Source organism: Homo sapiens, chromosome 1, assembly GCF_000001405.40.
Source record: "Homo sapiens chromosome 1, GRCh38.p14 Primary Assembly".
In the NCBI taxonomy this organism is placed as follows: Eukaryota; Metazoa; Chordata; class Mammalia; order Primates; family Hominidae; genus Homo; species Homo sapiens.
Window position 1 is genome coordinate 83532639 of NC_000001.11, and position 24994 is coordinate 83557632.

The 24994-nt window shown below is 38.4% G+C and overlaps 1 protein-coding gene across 2 annotated transcripts in view; it reads left to right on the forward strand.

Moving 5' to 3' along the window:
* LOC107985043 (uncharacterized) overlaps positions 1-24994 on the forward strand; it is a 57359-nt gene that overhangs the window by 15904 nt on the left and 16461 nt on the right. Inside the window, exon 2 of one of the 2 annotated variants that reach the window (XM_047437626.1) lies at positions 7912-7993. In XM_047437626.1, coding sequence (XP_047293582.1) covers positions 7912-7993 — 82 coding nt within the window. The remainder of the gene's footprint in view (positions 1-7911; positions 7994-24994) is intronic. The other variant, XM_047437627.1, reaches the window with a different exon arrangement.

The window sequence follows — 24994 nt, forward strand, 5'->3', positions numbered from 1 at the left end:
AACTACATGCTCTTAACCACCACGCCCAAGAACAAATGATGGAAACAGGTGGCTGCTTTTTTTTTTTTTTTTGTCATCTTAGTGACATGCCCAAATTGCAACAGAGACAACATGCCTACATAACAGCATGAGTAGGATAATAAAGAGCAGCTGACATGCCAGCCATGGGATATAAGGACAGCTCAAGCAATTGTCCATCCAGGAAGGGCTGAGGAAAGTCCAAGCTTTTATGGTTATATTAACGTTTCACTTTAAGTAAGATTTATACCTCAATGTGAACATATTTGCTAGCTATTTTGCTGGAAATCATGCCCAGCACAATAAAAAGATAAGCGGTAACATGTAAGGTATGTTGTACAACCAACAAATGAACAAAGATTCTATTATCTGTAAAACATAGCCATGTGTCTATCACCAGGGTCAATACTGACCATGTCTGGAAGGTATAAAAAGGCAACAAAGATGGAATAGAAAAGTATAATACCAAATGAAAACCTATGATTAGACACAGGAAATTAACAATAGTTATTCAGAAAGGAAGCCCACTTACATTTGTGTAACACTGACTTTCTCACAGTTAGCTTTTATACCCCACACATGAATTGATTCCTGTTCTACAGCACATGAAAGCACACCTTTGTATATAACCTTGTCTAAAAAAATTATCTTACATAACATACTACCTGCAACACACACACACACACACACACACACACACACACATACACAGCAACAAAAAACAATGGGACTTAAAAAGTAGCTAGAGTCAGCCTAAAAAATTCTTCTCTGTAATAAATATTGCCTCTGTAGGTGATACTGTAACAATAACTTTTAAATTAAGCTAATTAGTCAGGACTTTCTAACTGCTCTTAGCTAAATATCTTAAAAGTTCTTTATTCTGGACATGGATTTTTATTTGGTTTCCATATCTTACTATGTTATCTGAATAGATTCCACTTAATCGTTTCTTTGAATGTTGCCTTCATCTTCACCTTCTTGCATTAACTGAAATCAGCCACCACTGGAGGATATTATTACCTCTGCAGTGCATCCAAGGGGGATTTATTTTTTCTACTTCACCCCACTTACCATTAAGTCTGTTTAAAAGGACCGTATATACTTCTTACTCTTAATTGCTTTTTCCAATGAACTATATTATTTTAACTTTTATTTTAAGTTCAGGGGCACATGTGCAGGTTTGTTGCATAGGTAAAATTGTGTCATGGGGGTTTGTTGTACAGATTATTTCATCAGCCAGGTATTAAGCCTAGTACCTACTAGTCATTTTTCCTGATCCTCACCCTCCTCCCACCCTCCAACAGGCCCCAGTGTGTGTTGTTCCCCTGTATGTGTCCATGCGTTCTCATCATTTAGCTTCCAGTTATAAGTGAGAACATGTAGTATTTGGTTTTCCATTCCTGTGTTAGTTTGCTAAGGATAATGGCCTCCAGCTTCATCCATGTCCCTGCAAAAAACATGATCTCATTCTTTTTTATGGTTGCATAGTATTCCATGGTGTATATATACCACATTTTCTTTATCCAGTCTATCATTGATGGGGATTTAGGTTGATTCCATGTCTTTGCTATTGTGAGTAGTGTTGCATGTGTCTTTATAATAGAATTATTTCTGTTTCTTTGGGTCCAATAAAGTATTTTTTATTGCTTTTTCCATTGCTTTTCATTGTTCTCCAGTGAGCTTTTGTCCATTGCTTTTTCTTTTGTTCTTCCACATCCCTAAAAATGCCCTGTTCCATTGAAACATTTGCCATTGGACTCTACTCCCGTGCCATGTTGCAGTCATCTACCATCCTTCTGGAGCCAGTCTTGTTGTGATCTTCTGCTGATTTTCTTGTCACTCTTTCTCCTTCCATGAGTACTGGAGCATCGGGCCTATTGTACTTCTCTCCACTGACTCTCTTGTCATCTTTGTCCAATAACCAGAAACTCAATGGAAATTCAATTCCTAGAAATTCCTTTACCTCCTCATCTCCAGTGACCTTGTCTTCTTCCTATATCAGGCCCACCACTCCGTGTTCATACCAGTAATAATTACATCTCCTCAAAAATGTCAATACTATGTTTATGCAATTATTTGACTCCACCAGAACCTTAAAAATATTGACCAAATCACCATGTCTCTGTATATTATCCTGTCATATTTTCACTTACTTCTTTACCCACTTGTATTCTATTCAACGGACCATCATTATATCTATTCTCTTACATATACCTGAGCTCCTCCACCTGTCTTTTATTCTGTTGTAATTACTTACCAAATTTATATTCCTGGTTAAATAGGACTCTCCATCTACTCTCTGCTTTTGTCCAGGTATCTGAAGAGGCAGAATCATATCACCATATATTTATGTTCACAAACTCAAAGCTTCAGCGCTGCTTAGCAATTCAACTGTATTGCTCTAATTAATTTACTCTCCTACTTCTGAGACAAATCATCCATACCTTCACTTTTATTCTCAAAATGCTAATATCCTCTATTCCCCTTGTCACTCTCAGCTGTTGATCTTGTTTCTCAGTTCAAGCAGCAACAAGAAAAATGAACCAATTCCTTAAAAGACACAATCTGCCAAAACTCAAGAAGAAATAGGTAATCCAAATAGGTCTATATCTATTTTAAAAACTGAATCAATATTTAATAATCTTTTAAAACAAAGTACTATTCACTGGTGAATTCTATCAAATATTTAAGGAAGAATTTTTTTTTTTTTTTTGAGATGGAGTCTCACTCTGTTGCCCAGGCTGCAGTGCAGTGGCACAATCTTGGCTCACTGCAACCTCCACCTCCCGGGTTCAAGCAATTCTCCTGTCTCAGCCTCCCGAGTAGCTGGGATTACAGGCGCATGCCACCATGCCCAGCTAATTTTTGTATTTTTAATTGAGACAGGGTTTCGCTATGTTGGTCAGGCTCATCTCAAACTCCTGACCTCAGGTGATCCACCTGCCTCAGCCTCCCAAAGTGCTGGGACTACAGGCATGAGACACTGAACCCAGCCTAAGGAAGAAATTATACCAATTCTCTGCAATCTCTTTCAGAAGGCAGAGGAAATACTCCCTAATTCATTATGTGAGGCTAACAATACCCTAATTCCAAAACAATGCAAAAACATTACAAGAAACTACAGACCAATATCTCTTATGAGCAGAAATGCAAAATTCTCAATAAAATATTAGCAAATTGAATACAACTATATATACAAGTAATTACACAGCATGAACTAGTGGGATTTATCCCATGTATGCAAGGCTGGGTCAACATTTGAAAATCAATTAATTTAATCCATCATATCAAGAGGCTAAAGAAAAAAATAACAGGATTGTATTAATAGATGCATAAGATAATTTGACAAAATCTAATGCCCACTCTTGATAATAACTGTCACTAAAGTAGGAATAGACGGGAAAGTTCTTAACTGAATAAAGAATATCTACAAAACAAATCTTACTGCTAATGTCATATGTGATAGTGAGAAACTCAAAGCTTTCCCACCAAGATAAAGAATAAGACAAGGGTGTACCCGCTCATCAGTGCTTTTACACTGAACTGTAAGTCCTAGCTAATAAGACAAGAAAAGGAAATAAAATGCAAATGCATATAGATTAAGAAAGAAGAAGTAATAAAACTTTATTTGTTCATAGATGACATACTCATTTATGTAGAAAATTCCAGAAAAATTAACAAAAAAACTGGAACTAATAAATGATTATAGCAGGATATCAGGATACAAGATTAATATACAAGAGTAAATTGCTTTTTTACAAATCAGCAATGAACAAGTGGAATTTGAGTTTAAAATCACAATACCATTTAAATTATCACTCAAAAATGAAATAGGTAGAAACCTAACAAAATACATATAAGATTTATAAGAGGAAAACTACAAAACTCTGATGAACAAGATCAAAGAAAAACTAAATAAATGGAAAAAAGTTATATTTATGGATAGGAAGACTAAATACTGTCAAGATGTCAGTTCTTTTCAATTTGATCTATAAATTCAATGCAATGCCAATTAAAGTCTCAGCAAGTTTTTTGGGGGGTATCAACAAACTGATCCTAAATTGTATATAGAGAGGCAAAAGACCCAAAATAGCCAACATAACATTGAAGAGGAATAAAGTTGGAGGATTGACCCTACTTGACTTCAAGACTTAATATATAGCTACAATAATCGAGACAGTGTGGTATTGGCAAAAGAATAAACAAATAGATCAATGGAATGGAATAGAGATCCCAGAAATAGACCAACAAAACTATAGTCAATTGATCACTGACAAAGGAACAAAGGCAATAAAAAGAAGAAAAGATAGTCTTTTAACAAATGATGCTAGAACAACTGAACATATATACACAAAAAATAAAAAGAATCTAGACACTGCCCTTCACAAAAACTAACTCAGAATGGATCACAAACCTAAGTGTAAAACGTGGGACTACAAAACTCCTAGAAGATAAGATAGAAAAAAAATCTAGATGACCTTAGGTTTGGTGATGACTTTTTAGAGACAGCACCAAAGGCATGATCCATGAAAGAAAGAATTGTTAAGCTGGACCTCATTAAAATTAAAAATTTCTGCTCTTTGAAAGACACTATCAAGAGAATGAAAACCCATAGTCTGGGAGAAAATATTTGTAAAGGACATATCTGATTAAGGACTGTTACACAAAATACACAAAGAACTCTTAAAATTCAACAATAAAAAAAATCCAATTTTTAAAATAGGCCTTAACAGACCTTAACAGACACCTCACCAAAGAAGACATGCAGATGACAAATAAGCATATGAAAACTCACTCCACATCATATGGCACAAGAAAAATGCAAATTAAAACAATGAGATACCACTGACACCTATTAGAATGGCTAAAACCCAAAACACTGACAACACCAAATGCCAAGGAGGATGTGGAACAACAGGAACCCTCATTCATTGTTTATTGCTTGTGGGAATGCAAAATGGCACAACCACTTTGGAAGACAATTGGCAGTTTCTTTTTTTTTTTTTTGAGACGGAGTCTTGCTCTGTTGCCCAGGCTGGAGTGCAGTGCACGATCTGGGCTCACTGCAAGCTCCGCCTCACGGGTCAATGCCATTCTCTTGCCTCAGCCTCCGGAGTAGCTGGGACTACAGGCGCCCACCACCATGCCCGGCTAATTTTTTTTTTTTTTTTTTTTTTTTGTATTTTTTTAGTAGAGACGAGGTTTCACCGTGTTAGCCAGGATGGTCTCAATCTCCTGACCTCGTGATCCACCAGCCTCGACCTCCCAAAGTGCTGGGATTACAGGCGTAAGCCACCGCGCCCGGCCACAAAACTACTCTTAGCATACGACTCACCAATTTCTTTCCATGGTATTCACCCAAATGAGTTGAAAACTTATGTCCACACAAAAGCCTGAACTTGGATATTTATAACAGGTTTATTCATTATTGTCAAAACTTGAAAGCAATCAAGATGTCCTTCAGTAGGTAAATGGAAAAATAAACATCCAGACAATGCAGCCACTATTGTGATACTGGAAGCCTTGTGATTAGATAAGATTATCAATGAGATGAGTGTAGATACAGAAGAAAAGAGGACAGAAGACTGAGTCCCAGGACACTCTAATATTTAGAAGTTATGAAGAGGAAGAGGCCTCTAGATTTCTAGTCTATATGCTCCCCTGAACATTCAATTTGTATATTGGACTCAATGCTAAAAAGAAATGAGGTAGCCGGGCACAGTGGCTCACGCCTGTAATCCCAGTAGTTTGGGAGGCCGAGGTGGGTGGATCACCTGAGGTCAGGAGTTCCAGACCAGCCTGGCCAACATGGTGAAACCTCATCTCTACTAAAAATACAAAAATTAGCCAAGTGGGTGGCAGGCGCCTGTAATCCCAGCTACTTGGGAGGCTGAGGCAGAAGAATGGCTTGAACCTGGAAGGTGGAGGTTGCAGTGAGCTGCGATCATGCCACTGCATTCCAGCCTGGGCGACAGGGCAAGACTCCGTCTCAAAAAAAAAAAAAAGAAAAAAAGAAAGAAATGAGCTATCATCCATGAAGAGACATGGAGAAAACTTAAATGCATATTACTAAGTGAAAGACGCCACTCTGAAAAGGCTATGCACTGCCTAACTTCAACTATATGATATTCCAGAAAAGGTATAAATATAGAGAGACAGTAAAAAAAAAAATCAGTGCTTGCCAGGGGTAAGGAGGGAGGAAGGATGAACAGGTGAAGCACAGAGGATTTTCAGGGCAGTGGAACTATCCTGTATAATACTATAATGGGCCGGGTGCAGTGGCTCACACATGCAATCCTAGCACTCTGGGAGGCCAAGAAGGGCAGCTCACTTGAGGTCAGGAGTTCGAGACCAGCCTGGCCAACATGGTGAAACCCCGTCTCTACTAAAAATACAAAAATTAGCCAGGCACTGTGGTGCGCACCTGTAATCCCAACTACTCAGGAGGCTGAGGCATGAGAATCACTTGAGCCCAGGAGGCAGAGGTTGCAGTGAGCCAAGATCATGCCACTGCACTCCAGCCTGGGGGAGAGAGCGAAACTCTGTCTCAAAGAAAAAAAAAATACTAAAATTATACCTATCCTTATACATTTGTCCAAACCCATAGAATGTACATACCAAGAGTGATTCCTAATGTAACTATGGACTCTGGGTGATAATGATGTGTCAACGTAGATTTATCAGTTGTAACAAATGTACCACTCTGGTGGGGGATGTTGCTAATGAGGAAGCCTGTGCAGGTTTGGAGGGCAGGGATATATAGGAAATCTCTATACCTTCTGCTCAATATTGTTGTGAACCTAAAACTGCTTTTTAAAAACAGTCTATTTTAAAAAAAGAAGCAACCAGAAAAAAACTTCTTCTGTCTCCCACCACCAAATCTATTGGACTACTTGCATCTTCATTCCTGTACTTTTCTTTCCATCATGGATGAAAGGCAAACCCCTACATGATAATATTACATTTTATCCCCACCTGCCTATTCAAGGACTTTGTTCCTAGAGTCTTTATTCATTTCTTGTCCACCATTAATTTCCCCTTTTCCAAATCATTTTCATATTGATAAAATTATGCATATCTGCCAACAGAAAATATAAGAAATTCTCTTAATCAAGCATCTTATTCAGCTATTGCTCCATTCACCTGATTCTTTTTAAAGAAAGCCCTTTAAAAATTTAACGATACCTAATGTAGATGACCGGCTGATAGGTGCAGCAACCCATTATGGCACGTGTATACCTATGTAACAAACCTGCACGTTCTGAATATGTATCCCAGAACTTAAAGTATAATAATAAAAATAAAAATAAAAATAAATTAACTATACTGTTTCTCAACCTCCTGTTTTCTCACAGAAGCACCAGTCAGGCTTTTGTCTCCACACATATATTGCCTTATATTGGTTGCTGATGACTCCATATTGCTAAATCAATGGTCAGTGCACTACTACAAATTTACTTGACCCCTCAGAAGAATGTGGAACAGGTGACCACTTTCTTTTTCTTGAAACTCTGTCTTTACTAGGCCTTTCCATACCCGACTCTTGGATTTCTCTCCTACCTCATTTGACCCTCCTTTCATTTTCCATTGCCTCTTCCTTTTCATGATGTCTAAATTTTAGAGTACCCTGGGACATGATCTTCTGTCCTCTTTTCTTCTGTATCTACACTTATCTCATAGATAATCTTATCTAATCACAAGACTTCCAGTATCACAATAGTGGCTACATTTATATCTCTAGCCTAAACTCTCCCCTGGACATTCAACTTGATGCATATATGACCTCTTCAACTGAATATTAAATTGGATCTCAAATGAAACTTATTGTTCCTTTATAACCTGTGGGTGGGCAGGAGGCTGGATGTATGTGTCTCTGCTTTGCTTTCTCAACAGATTTCTTCATTTCAGTAATTGGCACATCTTTGAAGCAGCTGTCCAGTGGTTCTTGGAGCCTCACTGCTAAACCGTCAGTAAGGTCAGTCAGCAACTTCTCAACATTTGCATCACAACCACCTTATTGCAAACCATCCTTTTTCTTCAGTATGTCCACTACAATAACATTCTCCTTGGTCTTGGCTCCTGCCACTAACCATCTATTCTCCACATAGAAGTCAGAGTTATCCTTTAAAATTTTAAATCAGAGCACATTACTTCCTTGTTCAACAATGTCCAATGGCTTTGCACACACTGATAAGTAAATCTAAAATTCTTACCATGATCTACAATGTGACCTGTCTCTGACTATCTTGTTAATAGAGTCTCCTACCATTTAACCCTCATTCACTCTACTTCCTCTCCATAGCATCCATGCACTTTCTCAAATAGGCCGAGACCATGTCCACATTTGGCCTTTGCATTTGCTATTCCATCTGCCTGGAATGCTCTTCCACTTCATCTTTCCAACAGCTTGGTTTGTGCCTCATTTAGGTCTCTGCTCAAATGTCATGTCATCGGTTTGATCTTTAGTAACCATTCTATTTGAAATAACATTCCTGTTATTCTCCACACCCTTATCCTGCTTTGCTTTTCAAAACAGTGGTTGTCGCCAACTAATATTTTACTGTGTATTAGGCAACATACGATAGAGGGCTATTTCATGAAGATAGACATTTGAATCCAGAGCGCATCAGAGAGCTTATCTAATTATCTTTATCCAATTACCTATGACCTAATAAGACAATTAGGGGCCAGGAACTACCATTAAACTCAAAACCCTGGAATTGTAAGGGGAATATCAAGGGCTATGGGCCTAGTTGCTAATGCTAAAGAATGTAGTATTGCAGCGATAATGGTGCATTAAGGTAGAAAAACGGTATTGAGGTAGCCAAAGAAGTTACCAAGCATTCCAAAAATGCCCAAACACCAAGACATAACAAAAGTTGTTCTGTACCTCCAACAATAGTCTAGGTTCTTGCTCTAATTTTCTTTAATTGTGTCAGGTCCACTTAACATTTGTTTCATTTTCTACTTACAGTACGATTCCTGTTTTTTCATTAGGACTTATATTTATCTTCACTTAGCCAAAGGCAGAAGTGGACCTAAGTTAACAGATAAAGTTTCTGTGAACCAGCAAATACAACTAAGTTAAGGAATGATGAGTTTTTCATTATCTATCCAGTTGTCTCTATCATCAGGCTGGCATGCCCTTAAAAATACCTTTCATAGGTTCATTTCTTGAGTGATTTTATAGTCAATTGTTTATACTTTCATCTGCTCCATTAACTTATAAACTCATCAATAGTAATCTCCCAAAGCCTACCACAATGCCTGGCTTGGTCATATCACATTTTTAAAAATTATTATTGTGTATGACTTTAGATATTCTGAATATGTGTTTCTCAGTGCTTACAGGGGATCCAGGCAGGTCTTTAGGATAAAAAAAATGTACATGTGATTAATGTTAGGGTTTTACCAACAATATCTACTAAATTTCAGTCAGATTTCACCATACCAATTATTTTAACAGAAAGAATTTAATGTAAAGATTGTTAATGGGTATTGAGGAAGTGAAAGGCAAATAGGAACACTAAGGTATCACAGAGATAGGAATTGCAGGAAACAACTCTCACTCCCAGGAAACAACTCTCACTCTCAGGAACAAAAGGAAGAGGTTGGAATTATTAAAACATAGAAGCTTACAGGAGAAAGTAAACAGGGTACGGACTCAGTCCTCTGAGGAGAGGCACTGGTACTAGGAAGAGATGAGACTTGTTCTGTGAGTATTAGAAAAACTGCAAATAGATGTCATCTGTGGCCACTGGAACGAACTGCTGCTGCCACTGTCAAGAAGCTGGATTCATAGTGATAGGACCAGGAACCAGCAGAAAGAAGTAAATCTCTCCAGTCTTCATCTATATATTTATTATAATCATAGAATTATTTGTTTACTATGTGTCCTCTTCATAAGTCTTTGAGCTCCATTACTGGTTGGTCTACCATTAAATGCCTAAAGTCTGTCAAAAGTAAGAAGGAATTCACAAATAAATGAATGACACCTATTGAATTAAGCAACTACTTGAAAATTGAAACTGTCAGGAGGCATGAAAAGGCTTCACCCTGAGAAGACAAGAGATGTAGGAAAAATCATTTGTCTGTTGGTCCATTGATAATTAATAATTCTGTGCAGTATATTTGGTAATAATTTTGTTATAGTAGATTTACACATTTCTTCTTTTTTTGTTGTTTTTGTTTTTGTTTTTTTGAGACAGAGTTTCGCTCTTAATGCCCAGGCTGGAGTGCAATGGCACCATCTTGGCTCACTGCAACCTCCGCCTCCCAGGTTTAAGCGATTATCCTGCATCAGCCTCCCAAGTAACTGGGATTACAGACATGTGCCACCACACCCGGCTAATTTTGTATTTTTACTAGAGATGGGGTTTCACCATGTTGACCAGGCTGGTCTGAAACTCCTGACCTCAGGCGATCCACCCACCTCGGCCTCCCAAAGTGCTGGGATTACAGGCATGAACCACCGTGCCCAGCCCAGATTTCTTTTCAACCTAGCAGCAAGTGTGTTTCCATAGTTTCTCAATTTTGTTTGATGTCTTCCTGTGAGCAGACAACCCTATTTTTTAAACTGGAAAATTCTATGAGAGCCAAAGCATATTGTTGTGTGCACGATATATTTTGAGTGTTTTCCTTCTAAGATTTATACATTTCATGAATGAGTTTTTTTTTTAGAGGAATCCTTCCCTGTTGTGATGGCCCAAGGGAATGCAAGTTAGACATCCTGGCTTATTTCTAACACCCCCATCTTAAAATTTCATTAAAGCCTTCTAACTGCCTCTCACAAAAATGTTTTATTTTTAGCCTCTTTATCTGACCTTCACATCTGTATCTTAATCACAACATTCTGAAATCAGATGGAATCCAAAGAGAACAACATTTTCTCCCCTATTTCATTGAACATTATTTCATGCAGAAGGATATGTTGGCATGGATGTGAATATAGCACCAAGGGCAGATGCCAATTAATGAATCATTTCTACAGGAAAAACGGGCCAACATATACACACATTGTGTCTTATTCTATATCACCTTCTCCTGTTGAGCCTAATTACATAAAAGGAACAGGAAATATTTGAGGCCACATAACACAATACAGTTGGAAAAAGTTGTCTTATTCAAAGACTATCTAAATATATAATACAGGAAGGCACTGGTGAGGTTCATAATAATGAAAGGAAAGGATGATTTAAAAGTAAATGACGCATATTTTTCAGCATATTTGATCATATTTCCAAATGACCCATTCTCCTGTTTTTTCCAAATGCTAGTTTCCTTGAATAAATCAATTCCATGTGATAAGCTTTAAAAAAGAGACCTGTGATATGTACAAAAGCATTAAACATAATTTGAAATTTAAATTGTGTTCCAAAGAAATTGTAGTGCATTAGATTGTGTTCAACATTTACTGCTGTTATTTAGTCCATTTACATAGAGCAATAAAAGACAGCTAAACCATTAAATTACATGACTTTCTCAAAATTGCTCTTCAATTATGATAAAATTAAGCTTTTGTGTCCTATTTATAAACATGGATAAATAACCAATACATTGCAGATACCATTGTACTACAACCCAGTTTAATTTTCAATAGTTTCCATGGGGCTTTGATCATTTACTGATATTAGCTGATAAATTTGTGTGTGTGTGTGTGTGTGTGCGCACACACACAATGTGTCTGTAAGCTTTGTTAAATTATCTTTAAGGATGAAGGAAACCATGTAATTCTTTGAAAATGCAAGGCATAGAATAGGACTTAACAACTGTCTTGAAGACAAATTGGCTTTGAGAAAATGAAAGTAAAATTAACTGCAAAGAAAATATAGGATAAAGGAATGATCAGGAAAGAGTACTGATTTTCCCAACTTGAAGCGTAGTTTTTAGAGTATTAATGAATTTGTGATTTATTAAAAATCTCAATTCTCATTGATTTTCACTGAATTTTTCAGCCACCTTTAAATCTTGAAAAGCCTAGAGTTCTTGTTCCAGGTGATGTTGTGCAATGAGAAAAGAGAGTTTTATGCAATTGCCCCCAGATGACTCCTTGGCTGATACTCCTGTATCTTTATGCTATATGAATTCACTAGATAAACAATGAGGTCTCCACTCCACTTGAGCTACAATCACATTTGGAATCATCCCTCTTAACTAAATTTCTTTCCTAACTTAAAAACTCAGAAAATAAGAATTGATAAAAATAAAATTGAATTATAATCTGTAAAATTTACCAAGATGAGTACAAGTCCAACAGAAAACAATAATGCTAATCATGAAAAATTTGTAAATTACTTCTTTCCTTCTCTTGATTTAGCTATTTTCCTTCTACTTCTACACAGCACACATCAGAGTAGAGTGTTGGCAAAGTTCTGGTGAAATTGCAAAGAGTATATAGCCAAGTGGGAGGATCTAAGCCAACAAGATTGCCTTGTGTTTAGCGAGGAATCCTGAGGTAATCCTGGCTAAAGCAAGTTTATGGCTTAGTGTATACAAATAAATGATGTAATGAGGTCTGTGATCATTACCAGTAAGACAAAAGTGCATTTTAATGTAGGATTCTCATCTCTGTGATAATTCTCGGCAAGCCTGTGATTTGAATCAAGAGTTCTGGCCCATGAGGAGATGTGCATCTGCTACATCTAACACAGGTCTGTTCATTACTCCATGCAAAGGCTGGCAAAGGGAAGAGAAGAACCTCAATTGAAGATTTGGACATCATCATCAACACCTGTTTCCAGTTGAAACCTGCTGAACCAATTCCTGTTTTCAAAACTAACTGAGAAAGTTAAGTTTTGCGGCAGATGAAAAAACACAAAGGGTCTCTCCTGCCAGAGGAGAAGTTGGGTAATATACCTCACAAAAAAAAAAATGTCATTTAAAGAGAAAAACAGTCATCTGCCAATATGGCAGACAGAGATTGCTGCCAAAATTCCAACAGTGCTCCAACTTCCAATCTGCTCCTTGACCAGAAGGGGGACACTACCCCTACTAACAAGATTGGTGAGCCTAGAGAAGCTGTCCATTACAGCACAAGGAAGCCAGGATATGGCAAAATAGAGGAAATATAGGTTCTCAGGCATGGTGCCAACTGTAAAGGAGGAGCAGAGCTGCTTCCGACTAAGGCTGAAGACACGTAAAGCACACAGACTTAACAACAGTGGTGACAAGATGTCCAGACAGGCAGTTTGATCACAGATCTCATCTGGCAGGTCTCCATTCTCTTCTGGCTTAGATACCAGATAAAGATCTTTGTTTCTCCTTCCTTCTTGTCTGATTTTGGGAAAGGTTTCCCCACTGCTGCCCCTCCATTATTTTGACTGACAATCCAAATTGTGTCTACAGGCACAATCAATGTTACTGTAGTCTTTGGACTAACTAACGACTGCCCTTTTAACCAGCCAACGACAGTTGCTGTACTAAGAAAGACAAAACCACCAACTTAGAGTCAGAGGTAATTTGTATTGTATTTTTACACAAATCGAGTTCTAATTTTTGCTACTACATGCAATAAATCACTAAATTTATCTTGTAGTTTGAGAGGCAGTACACTGAATGCAGTGGTTCTCAAACTTTGCTGTACACTTGGAATCATGGGGGAACTTTAAAAAGTACTGATGCCTCACTCCAAACTCAAACATGCTGATTTAATTGATCTAGGGTGTAATCTGGACATTAAGATTTGTAAAAACTCACCAAGTGATTTTATTGTGCAGGTAGATGTGGGAACCACTGTCATAGTGACTAAACGAATGAGTTCTGTAGCCTCCTTAGTTCAAAACTCAGCTTCACCATTTTCTAAGTGGATGACTTTGGAAAGATTAATTCACCAACTAATAGTAATGATTTCAGACAGTTACTTTGAGGATTTAATACAAGAGCATAGGAAAGTGCCTGGTACATAGCAAGTGCTCAATCAATGTGAGTTTTAAAATGAATCATTTATTAAAAATATGTATAAGTACTAATCCAAACAGACGAAAACTGTTTACATGATTTTCTTATTAATTTCTTAAATGAATTCCATTCATCTGATATATATTTACTAAATAATATGCATTATTTTTCTATATGCATTAGTTTTCTATGGCAGCCATACAAATGACCAAGCACTTAGTGGTTTAAAACAACACAAGGTGTGTTATGTTAGTTTTACAGGTCAGAAGTCTAATGCAGTCTCAGTCGGCTAAAGTCAAGGTGTTGTCAGCAAGTGTTCCTTTCTGGAGGCTTCAGGGTAGAATCTGTTTCTGTGCCTTTTTCAACCTCCCACATTCCTTGGCTTGTGATCTCCTTTCCCCTGGCTTTCATCCATCTTGTAAGCCAGCAGCATTTCATCTCTCTGACACTTTTCCATCGTCACATCTCTTGCTGACTAACCCCAGCTGGAAAAGTTTCTCCAACTTTAAAGACCCATGTGATTAGACTGGGCCCATCTGGATAAGAAAGGCTAATCTCCCCATCTCAAGGCCAGTAGTGTCAATCACAGCTGTTAAGTTCCTTGTGCCCTGTACACTAGCATTCATAGGTTCCAGGGATTCAGGGTGTGGACATCTTCAGGGAGCCATCATTCTTTCCATCACAGAATTACTGTGACCTTGTATCATATTTTAAAAATTTTTCTCTTGGATGAATAAAACTCTTCTACCCCTTAAAACTTAATATAAACTCCTCATTTTGCAAAATAACTTCAAGTATTATGGAAATTACAAAATTTGAACAAATTATGTCTATTCCTGGCACCCAGTAATTGATAATGTAGTTAGCAATTCACCAAATCATTCCCAGGTAGAGAAAATAGCAATTCTGTTTCTATTTTTTATTTTTTTTTTTATTTTTCTTTTTGAGACAGAGTCTCGCTCTGTCACCCAGGCTGAAGTGCAGTAGCACAATCTCAGGCCCACTGCAACCTCTGCCTCCCGGGTTCAAGTGATTCTCCTGCCTCAGCCTCCTGAGTAGCTGGGATTATAGGCGCGTGCCACCATGACTGGCTAATTTTTGTATTTTTAGTAGAGACGGGGTTTCACCATGTTGGCCAGGCTGGTCTTGAACTCCTGACCTCATGATCCGCCTGCCTCGGCCTCCCAAAGTGCTGGGATTACAGGCGTGAGCCACAGCGCCTAGCCCCTGTGTTAAATTTTTTAACTTTTCTATTATTTCCTAGGATTTAGCTACAAACCATATTACCCAACTTCCCCTAGAACTTTAGTAGGTTTTTAAAAGTTGCCAGATTCCCTTCCCACTGTAATGACATATTATTCCTGAATATTACAAACACCACGCCAAACCCCCACCTAAAAGCTATTTTAGCAAAAATAAGTAATAAGATCCCACCCGGCTTGATCTTGTTTCCTGACACTATTCATACCTCTCTAATAATCAATCCATCATTTCTCCGCAGTACCAATTGACCCTGAAAAGTCTGGGCAAGTTACCAGAAACCCGTGAGTCGGCCCACACATTGTGTAAGAGGTTGTGGGTATTACACCCTGGAAAGGCTTGCTGAGCAAATATCCTCCTTCCAGCCAATGCCTCATCTTGAAAATGTATAGTTGGATCTTTCTCCTGGGCATCAACATCTGCCCACCATGCTCACTCAGACAGGCTCGCTTGACCACACCACTGAGTTCAGGTTAGCCACACAACTACATCCTCAGCCCTTCTTTATCAAACACAGTTGTGGTTTATTACAATGGCTTACATTCTCCTTTCTCTTCCCTGAGTTTCTATCATCTTCTGTCTGCAAAGCAATTTATAACAGCCCATCTTCCCCCACTTGTGGAATGGAAGAAGTGGGGAGTCAGGGCCCATGTCTTATTGTGGTGGAGGGATAATGGGAAGATAAGACTAGATAGGACAGCAGGGCCAGATGACGGAAGGCTCTAGATTCTGGGCTGGGGATTTGGGTATGATTCATTAAGTGATAGGACACCACAATAGGCTCCTGGGTAGAGGAGTGACAAGAAGATAGTGGTATTTTCAAAAGGACTATCTGACAGTGCCATGTGTGATGACTTGGAAGCAGAGAGAAAACAGAAAAGAAGCCAGTTAGGAGACTATTCACAAAAACTCAAGTCCAAGGTGATAAGAACCTGTAAGGATGTGACAATGTACTTGAAGCAGGAGCAAGGATAAATTAAAGAGACTTCAGGAAGGGAAAACCTATAGGGCTTAGTGACTAATTTTATATGGGTGATAAATTTAAGAGAGACCGCAAAGATGACTTTAAAATGTAAGCCTAAGACACCAGGAAGATGGTGGTGCCTCTGACACAGTAAGGGGACTGGAAAAGTAATTGGATTTGAAAGTTTGGATGAGATGAACACTAATTACAGTGCTTGTGTTACTCCCTGATCAAAATCCATCAATAGCTTCTCATTGCATGTAGTATAAATTCCAAATGCTTAACATCACTTATAAGAGTCTGCCTTAAATAACCCTAACATCTCTATAATCTGATCTCTCAAAATTCTTCTAACAGTAAATATCTTTGAGTACATTGCATGAGCCAAATTATTGTCTGCCTGTATGGTTGGACCCATGTCTGGCCAAATGCAGAGCTCCATACTGTAATTATCCCAAGGAATGTGAGAATTCATACATGGATGCTGATTCTAAAGAAATGGTGGGAAAGCCTCTCTCTTTTTCTCTGGGACAGGAGCTGTAAAGGATGATGTAACTTGTGATTGCTAGTGGACAACCTGCCACCAAATAGAGGAAGTCTCTGAGAATGAGGCCAAGCAAAGGCAAATAGAACCAAGAGATGGACAGAGAGACAGAAACCTGAGGCCTCATATAAATCCTTGGATCCAGTCAGGCCTTACTGTCTCCACCTCTTAGATGTCCCACTTATATGGACTGAACAGTTCTCTTTTTTTAGCTTAGGCTTGGGCTCTGTCACTTTCAGCCCAGAGTCCTGATTCTTCTATTATCTCAAGGCTGCTCATCTGCAGGGAATGTTTTTCTCTATATCTTTGCCTGACTGATTCTCACTTATCTTTAGGGCTTAGCTTAAATAATGCTTTCTCAAAAAGCCATGTCACGAAGACCAAAGGGGACCAGATTAGGTCCCTTTTTGCTGTTCTCTCAAATTATCCTACTATTTTCCTTTATAGGTTATTCCTATAATTTGGAGTGATGTGCTTATATGCATTTATTTATTTAAGGTCTGTCTTCCTTAATGTTATAATACACATTACCCTCTGTACCCTCCTGAAGTCCCACTAGAATGATAATAATGAGACTTTTTGAAGACATAAGTCCAAATTAAAGAAAGCATGACAAAACATTAAAAGTTAGGAAGCAGATGGATGAGTAGCAACTGACCTGGTGCACCCAAGGCAACTGAATCCTGAGCCAGAAGGAGGAAAAGATGAGAAGCAGCTTGATCTACACCATGGAAGTCCCCAGAGACTCAGGAATCCTTGGCACCAATTGCCTCTGAATGTAGAAGGTAGAGCTAAAACCAAGTCAGATTAAGAATAGCTAGTACACGGAAAGCTATACAAATAAAAATATAAATTATGACTATGATTGTTATTGTTAATCCCAGGAAAAAATAAAAGTTGCACAGGGAAAGATAATAATAAAAGCAAAAACTTCTAACACATATTTAGTGCTTACTGGAAGACATGGATTGTTCTAATTCTTTATATTTATTAATTTTATATTAATTCAGTTATTAACTATAAATTATCACAACTCATTGTTGTAGATACTATGAGTATCTCATTCTACAGTTGAAGAAATTGAAACAGAGCTAGCTCCTAATAGTGAGTACTGTCTTTGGGATTTGAATCCAGGTTGTTGGACTCTAGAAGCTGTTCTCTTAACTATTACTCCATGTTACCTCTTAAAATAATCATAGTATGTTATCTATCTTTCACCGTAAGTAACATTTTTATAGTCAAACATAAACACTGCTTATTCATTTAATTCAAATTTTAAAATGATTCTTTAAAAAGAATAGGGAGAAGAGAGAATATGTATAGGTATAATGTGGTATACGTGAAAGGAAGCTAAATCTTCTTCATCTACCTTGGAAGCCAATAGCTAAGAACACACAAAAATAGAAAGAAAGAAAGAGCAACATAAGTATTATTTTTAGATATTTTTAAATAATGCCCAAAAATACCAGTTAAAAGAATTGAATGTGGTTCCACAAATAGGATATGACAGGATATGAGGTTTCCTTCAGGGAATGAATTTTACCAAGACTTTTAGAAATATTTCCCACTGTAAATTGTGTGCTTGGATAATTTTCATGTTTTAAGCCACTGCTGAAGGTTTTGGTTAGTATCACTAAGTTGGCATTTAAATGCATGGGTATGGGTTAACTCTCAGAGTGAGTAGAGAGGAAAGGTCCCTAGGACAGAGTTCTTTGGACCCCTACATGGCCCACAGATTGGAAGCCAAAGGAACAAGAGGAAGCAAAGAAGAAACAGGAAAAAACCAAAGAGAAAAATCAAAGGGCTCAAAGAAGTTCGATGACCTAGAAAGCAAAGATCAGGAGAGAGCATTGGGAAGGAGGGACCCATCAACAGGAACCAAAAGAAGGGAACAACAATGAGCACAGCGACTGAGCCAAAATTGCTCAAAGTTACAAGTGGAAGACCAGAGCATTTCAGCAGTGGGTAGGGAGCAAAGGCCACGTCGTGGGGAATTACGGAAGGAGCTGTTGGTAAGACATCAGATGGAGTAAGGACAAGTTACAGTTGTCAGTGTAGCAATGAATCCTAAAGAGGTCGTTCCTCTGGCATAGAACTCTCCACCTCAACAGCTGCCCAGCTGATGCGATTATTTCCTGAAGTATGCTGCCAAGGGAGAAGCTGCCCCTTTTAAAATAGGGCAGGAATGACAGGAAATCACTGGTAAGAACTTGTTGACAGGAGGAAAATGACATGGTTAGTTTCTGGTGGTGGCAGGGTGCCATTATCAGCCATGCCAAAGCAAAGAAATCATTATATCTAGAAAATAATATTTCCATGCCCACCACATAAATTCTAGCCAGATGTTGCCCTGAGGAACATGAGCTCCTTTGGCTTTGATGACAAGTACAGAGGAGCAAAGACCTCCTTTTCACTATTGATGAGCCCCGGTTGTTGGTTGCATGAATCAGGAGACAAGCTTTGGGTAGGATCACAGCCAGCCTGGTGTTAGACCTGAAGGTAAGTAAGAGGTCACTGTTTAATTTCAAGAAGAGCACCAAGCACATGCTGAAAAAGAGAGAAGCTACCTGGCAGCATTAAAGTGGAGCCTCTGGAATGCAATTGTGTTCTGGGGGCTGACTGATGAGATGGTGCTCAGTGCTCCAACCAACAAAGTATGTATGTGATGTGGGGAGCAGTAGATGAAAGTACCCCCACCCCAGCAGTCAGTTACCTACAGGTGGTATCTGCATGTTGTGCCCCTTTGAAATGTTATAGACACATGTCAGAGTGCTGACTTCTTGAAGTAGAAGTCAGAAGACTGCAAGTTGGCTTCCAGTTGTACATTGCTATGTAAGTTTCAATTATTCATTGAAGCTGCTGTTTTCTTCCTTTCACTGAGGTACAGTTTGAGAGAATGATCGTTCTTTAAATATATATTTTCTACATGTAGATAAGAGACTATCAAGATTTACATAAAATTAGCATAATTCCTGAGAGCTGCACAGCAAGTGAAAGATAGAGTATTTTGGATGGGTCATGTTTCCCTTCTTCCTATATTTTCATAGCACTCAGAAACAAAGCCAAAATATGCAAGCAAACACATGCACACACACACACAACATTTATGTGGGATTGAGACTAGAACTAAATTCACAAATTTAGTTGTAGTCTCTCCCCACTATGTTCTCACTACTTCAAGAGGGATAGTAGATAAGTGGAAGGGAGGAGGGGGTGGTCTGGGGAAAGAGTTGAACTCCCCAAGATATCCTGGAGTAAAGATCAAGGAGCACTTGCCCGCTCACCTCTCACACCCTTGTTCTCTTTCCATGCTGCACCAGAAGCAGAGAAAATCAAGGCATATCCATCCGTTCCAGTGCATCCTAGACTATAGATGACTTCAAGGGAACACCGCAGCAATGCAAAGAGAGATGCCAGGCTATGGGGTGGTTGCTCTGGGGCCTGTCTCCATCAATGTCCCACTCACCTGTACTTCTGAGAAATAAAAGCTACTAGTAGGCAAGAAAATATCTATGCTTTGGGAAGTGATGTCTGAGTGATACCAACTCCAGGCTTGAGTTCACTCTAGATGAGGCAGAAAGACTCTATGCTTTTAGGATTAAAAGAAGCACAGCATAGGAATGAAGCACTTTGGTAGTGGAGCCAGGGTGCTTGGATTAAATTGCAAGTGTGCACTTACTGGCTGTGTGACTTTAGGCAAGTTATTTAACCTCTCTGTGCCTCTGTTTCTTCAACTTGGAAATGACGTGAATGATCATATTTACCTCATAGGGTTCTTTTGTCAAAATTAAATGAGCTAATTAATTTAACTCAAGCCCTATAAATGTTAGCTATTATTATGTATGCTAATGAAGTTTCTGAACTTTATTATGCTCCTTTATTATGCTCCTTTGGGGCAGCGTTGTTTACAACATGGTCAGAAGAACACTGAAGCAAAATCATTCAGGAACTCTTAAAAATCCAAGGCAATTGCTCAATAGAGCACTGAACATATCAAAAAATGAATTATTAAAAATACAAGGAAAGCTGACTTTATAGTAAATGTATTAAAATTACTAGAAAAAATATAACAATATATTCTTCAAATGACTTGGGTTAAAAAGTAAATAAAAGTTTCCGTCTTGATTAAAGCTTTACTAAGAGATCTACAATGTAAAATAGGGCCTGTGTTATATATCAGGAGTGATTTTTCGTCTATTTTTAAAATCTGTCTAAAAGTGACTTTTAACATCTTAACATTCTGTGTATGTTAAAATGGTAACAGGGACCCTAAGAATCTGAAAGAAATCTGCCATTGAAGAAATGGTAAATAAATCTGAAAATTATTCACTTTAATAAATTGTTCCTAAGTCAAAAAAAAAAAAAAAAAAAATCCAAGGCAAATACATTTCAGACAAGTGTCTATCAGGGATAATTCTTTCATTCATTATGTTGTGAGAACCAGGATCCCCTTTGGAGTCACACATAAGGCTTCAGGCAGAGGAACTGGGAAAATCAGAGGAAGTGATAAAAGCAGTAGATGTGCAAAAATACATTCTTGAAATTTCAAATTTGAAACTTATTTTAAGTAAATTAGAATACTAACCACTAAAAATAATGTCATAGAGTATATTTTTAATATGGTATGTATATGCAAGAAAAAATGCATATTTACATTGTAAAAGTATATAGATACATACACACATACAACACACATACAATCTCATTTTGTAAAAAAGTAAGCCTTTGTATATATGTACAGAGAAAATTCCTTGAAGAATAAAACTCATAATGTTAGTGGTAGTTATCACTAGGCAGTGGGAATTGTGTAACTTGAGGGGCTGGGGTTCTGGTTTTCCTAAATGAATACATATTTTATGTGTAATTTTTAAAAAGCACCATAACTTCCTTTTCCTTAAGGCAAATAGCTAAAACCGAACTGGAATTCTAATTCAGTGACCTGAAGCCCTGAGAACAGAAGGGTTTGACCTCCGGGTGGGAGGCGATGACACAGCCCAGAGCTCTTTGCAGGGTGCCAGACCTTGGTCTGGGGGAACATCTCACAGTCAGGCCACCAGGGGAGAGCAGGAACTGAGGCTAAGTCTTCCCTAACCCAGGCAGCATTCGGTTAGGAAATCACAGACCCAGCTGTGAGAACCTGGAAGCACAGAGAAGAGGAAATGAAGCCGAAGCAGGCGGCTCTCACAAGAGATCTGGCCAGGGCCAGAACCAGAGGGTGCCCTGTCACTGCCAGAGTCCTGATCAGATGCTGCTCTCCTCTCCTCAGGGCTTGGAAGTTTCTAGAAAGCAGAGGTTAGCTCAGGGCCCCCACAATTCAAGTGGAGACTCAGGGTCCCGTATTATAGCAAAGATTCCTAAAGCATGTGTTAACTACCCTAAAGAGAGCCCAAATCGTTCCCAAACCTGAGATCCTTCCATTTTTCATATTCTATTTGTGAAATCATGACCTGCTGTCTCACAACTGTGAAATTTTATTTTCCTACTTTGTGCTTCTAAAGTTGATATAATTGAAGGAGTTGTCTCAGACCCAGTGTTTGGAATGTGTGTTCCATATTCTGTCCCCCAGACTACACTATCATCCTGTGCCATGCAGTTGTTTGGTAAAAGTCATTATGAATAAATAATGATATATGGGATGCTACTCTTTTACATAAAATTATATATATAATGCAGCTGATACTGGGGATGGAAAAACTTTTCACTGGTCCTATATCATAGCCTGTAAACCATGAGCATTGAATTAACCCAATAAAAGTGACAATTCTGACCCTGGGCTATACCCATTACTCTAAGGTTACAGTTTGCAAGCCAACTCAAATTGTCCTCAATGTAGTACTTTACTGAAATACTTATCATCTGGAAACCGTATGTAGTGCATATTCTTAATAAATAATAACACATTTTATTTTGGTTTACTGAAAATTAACAGGGCATTTGGGAAATTGCTGTTACTGTGGGAGACTGTTTCACATTTGCCTTGGCAGTATAATAGCTATCTAAGTGGAAAACAGGAGAGCCAATGGCTGTTGAGTGTGGGGTTTGTTTTTGTTTTTTTTTCCTCTGTTATTGGTATTCAGAGAAAGTCATGCAGCTGGTAACATTAATGACATCCCATATACTCAAAGAGATGAGAGAAGTCAAACAAAGTTGTAATGGGCATAACCATATGAAATTGTCATTCTGAGTTGATTAGTTTTGCATTTGGACACAGTAAATCTACTTCTTTGCACCTATATTCCAATCTATAGTCCAAATAGTCTGCAAAGTTTCAAGGCTTTTTAATAATTGCCTAAGACAGCTTTGTGAACATGCTGATCCAGAAGGCAAAAAGCAGAGAGCTTTGAGGGACCATTCCTATGGCAAGAGCCACTCTTGAGTTATGATTGTGTACTTTTCTCTGATAATCCTGATTTGTCACCATCCCACGTTTTAGAAGCATCTCCTATAAAGTTCTCCCACCTCCTAATGTAACAGTTAGGAGATCAGCCTCAAATAGACTGGTTTTTATTGGAGAAAAATACAGTAGTACAATTGGAGAGAGAAGGATAATGATGGATTCCAGGGAGGACGAGAGGGCTGAGACAGAAGACAGAAAAATGCAGACCTTTTTAGTGGTTTCCTTTAGTGCATTTTCTTCTCTTCCATGCAGGTCCTGCGGTGTAATCAGTGGGAGGTAACAAGGGCCATATTCCAAGCAAGCAATGCTTTCACTGGCTCTCAGGCCTGCTTCAGCTCTGCCAACCCTCTCGTCCCTTGCCCACCTCGTTTGCCAGCCCCCCTTTCTATGCCGAAATGCTACAAATGGTTTCATTTTCATAGTAACAGAAAAACATTCCAAACAAGTTTCCCTGTGTTTTTGTTGACCTTTGTTTTTCGTTTTAGTTTTAAATATACATTCTCATTCATTCCTTCCTATCAACTCCGTGGGTGTTTCGAGGTTTAAAACTGATATACTGAGAAGCCATAGAATTATTCTTATCTAATGATGCATTTTATATTTCCTGGATTTAGGAGAATTTGCTTTTTCTTATTTAATCCCTCTTTTTCCACATGGCTGATTCCTAAACATTAATGGTTCTACTCAAGCACACAACTTGGAAACCAGTGTGGCCCTTACTTTCTCTCATCTCCCTCACCTCCCTGCCACCCCACTATCATGCCTCCAAACTGACCCTCACATTTGTCACCCACAGTGATTGCCCTGGTCCTTATTCTTTTCCTCCTGGGCCATTATTCCCTCCTAAACAATCTGTCTGCCTTTAGTCTCCCTGCTTCAATGCACCCAACTATGCCACCAAAATAATCTTTCTAAAGTTCAAAAGAAAATCATATCCCAAGCCTACCTATGATCAATAAGTATATTTCCATTTTCGGCAGGGTTAGGTTCATACTTGTAAAGCAGGCAAGCAAGGCAGCTAAAGCAAGGGCTCCAGAGCCTACCTGTCTGAATTCAAATACCAGCTGGGCCAATTATAAGCAGAGTGACTTGGGGCTGCACCTTAGTTTCTCCATCTGTAAAATGGGTTACTTACATTGTAGGCTTATTAGAAGGATTGAGTTAATACTGGTAAATGGCATAGAACAGTGACTTATACATGGTGAGCATTATATGCCTTTTCCTATGTAAATAAAATAACTCCTCCATGTATGGTATTCAGCCCCCCTCTCTGCCTACTCTTCTACTTTTCTGCCTCAACTTCCATCACTTCTGACCACACTTCTCACTCCCTTCACCACATCCAGCCATCCACCACATATTTTTGCATATTATGTTCCTTCCACCCCAAATATCCTTATTATTTTTCCACCTTGGAATATTCTACACAACCGGTTATTTATCACACATGTCTTTACAGTAATGTATATCCCATTATTATATAATTTACTGCCCCCACTAAGCTTAAGAACTTTGAGTTTCAAGAACTACCTTGTGCTCATGTCTACTAACTATATCTAGACTAGTGTGCAAGCATTTATTAAGTATTCAAGAACTGATTGATGTTGGAAAGAAAGAAGGAAAGGAGGGAGGCACAGAAATAAAATAAGAGTTGCTAACAATTTTCTCTGTGCCAGACAAGGTACTAAATTATTTACGTGGCTTAATTCAATTCTAACTACAGCCCTATGAGGTTGATAGCATTATTATCCCCATTTTACCGATAAGAAAAAAAAATGCACAGAGTTGATATTGGTGACTCTTCAAATATCAACCTGACCCTAGCATCTGTGTATATAGACATCTCACAAAGCTGTCTCCCACTGGTCCCAAACATAGCACTCGATCTCCTTCTCTCCAACCAGCAGCCAACACA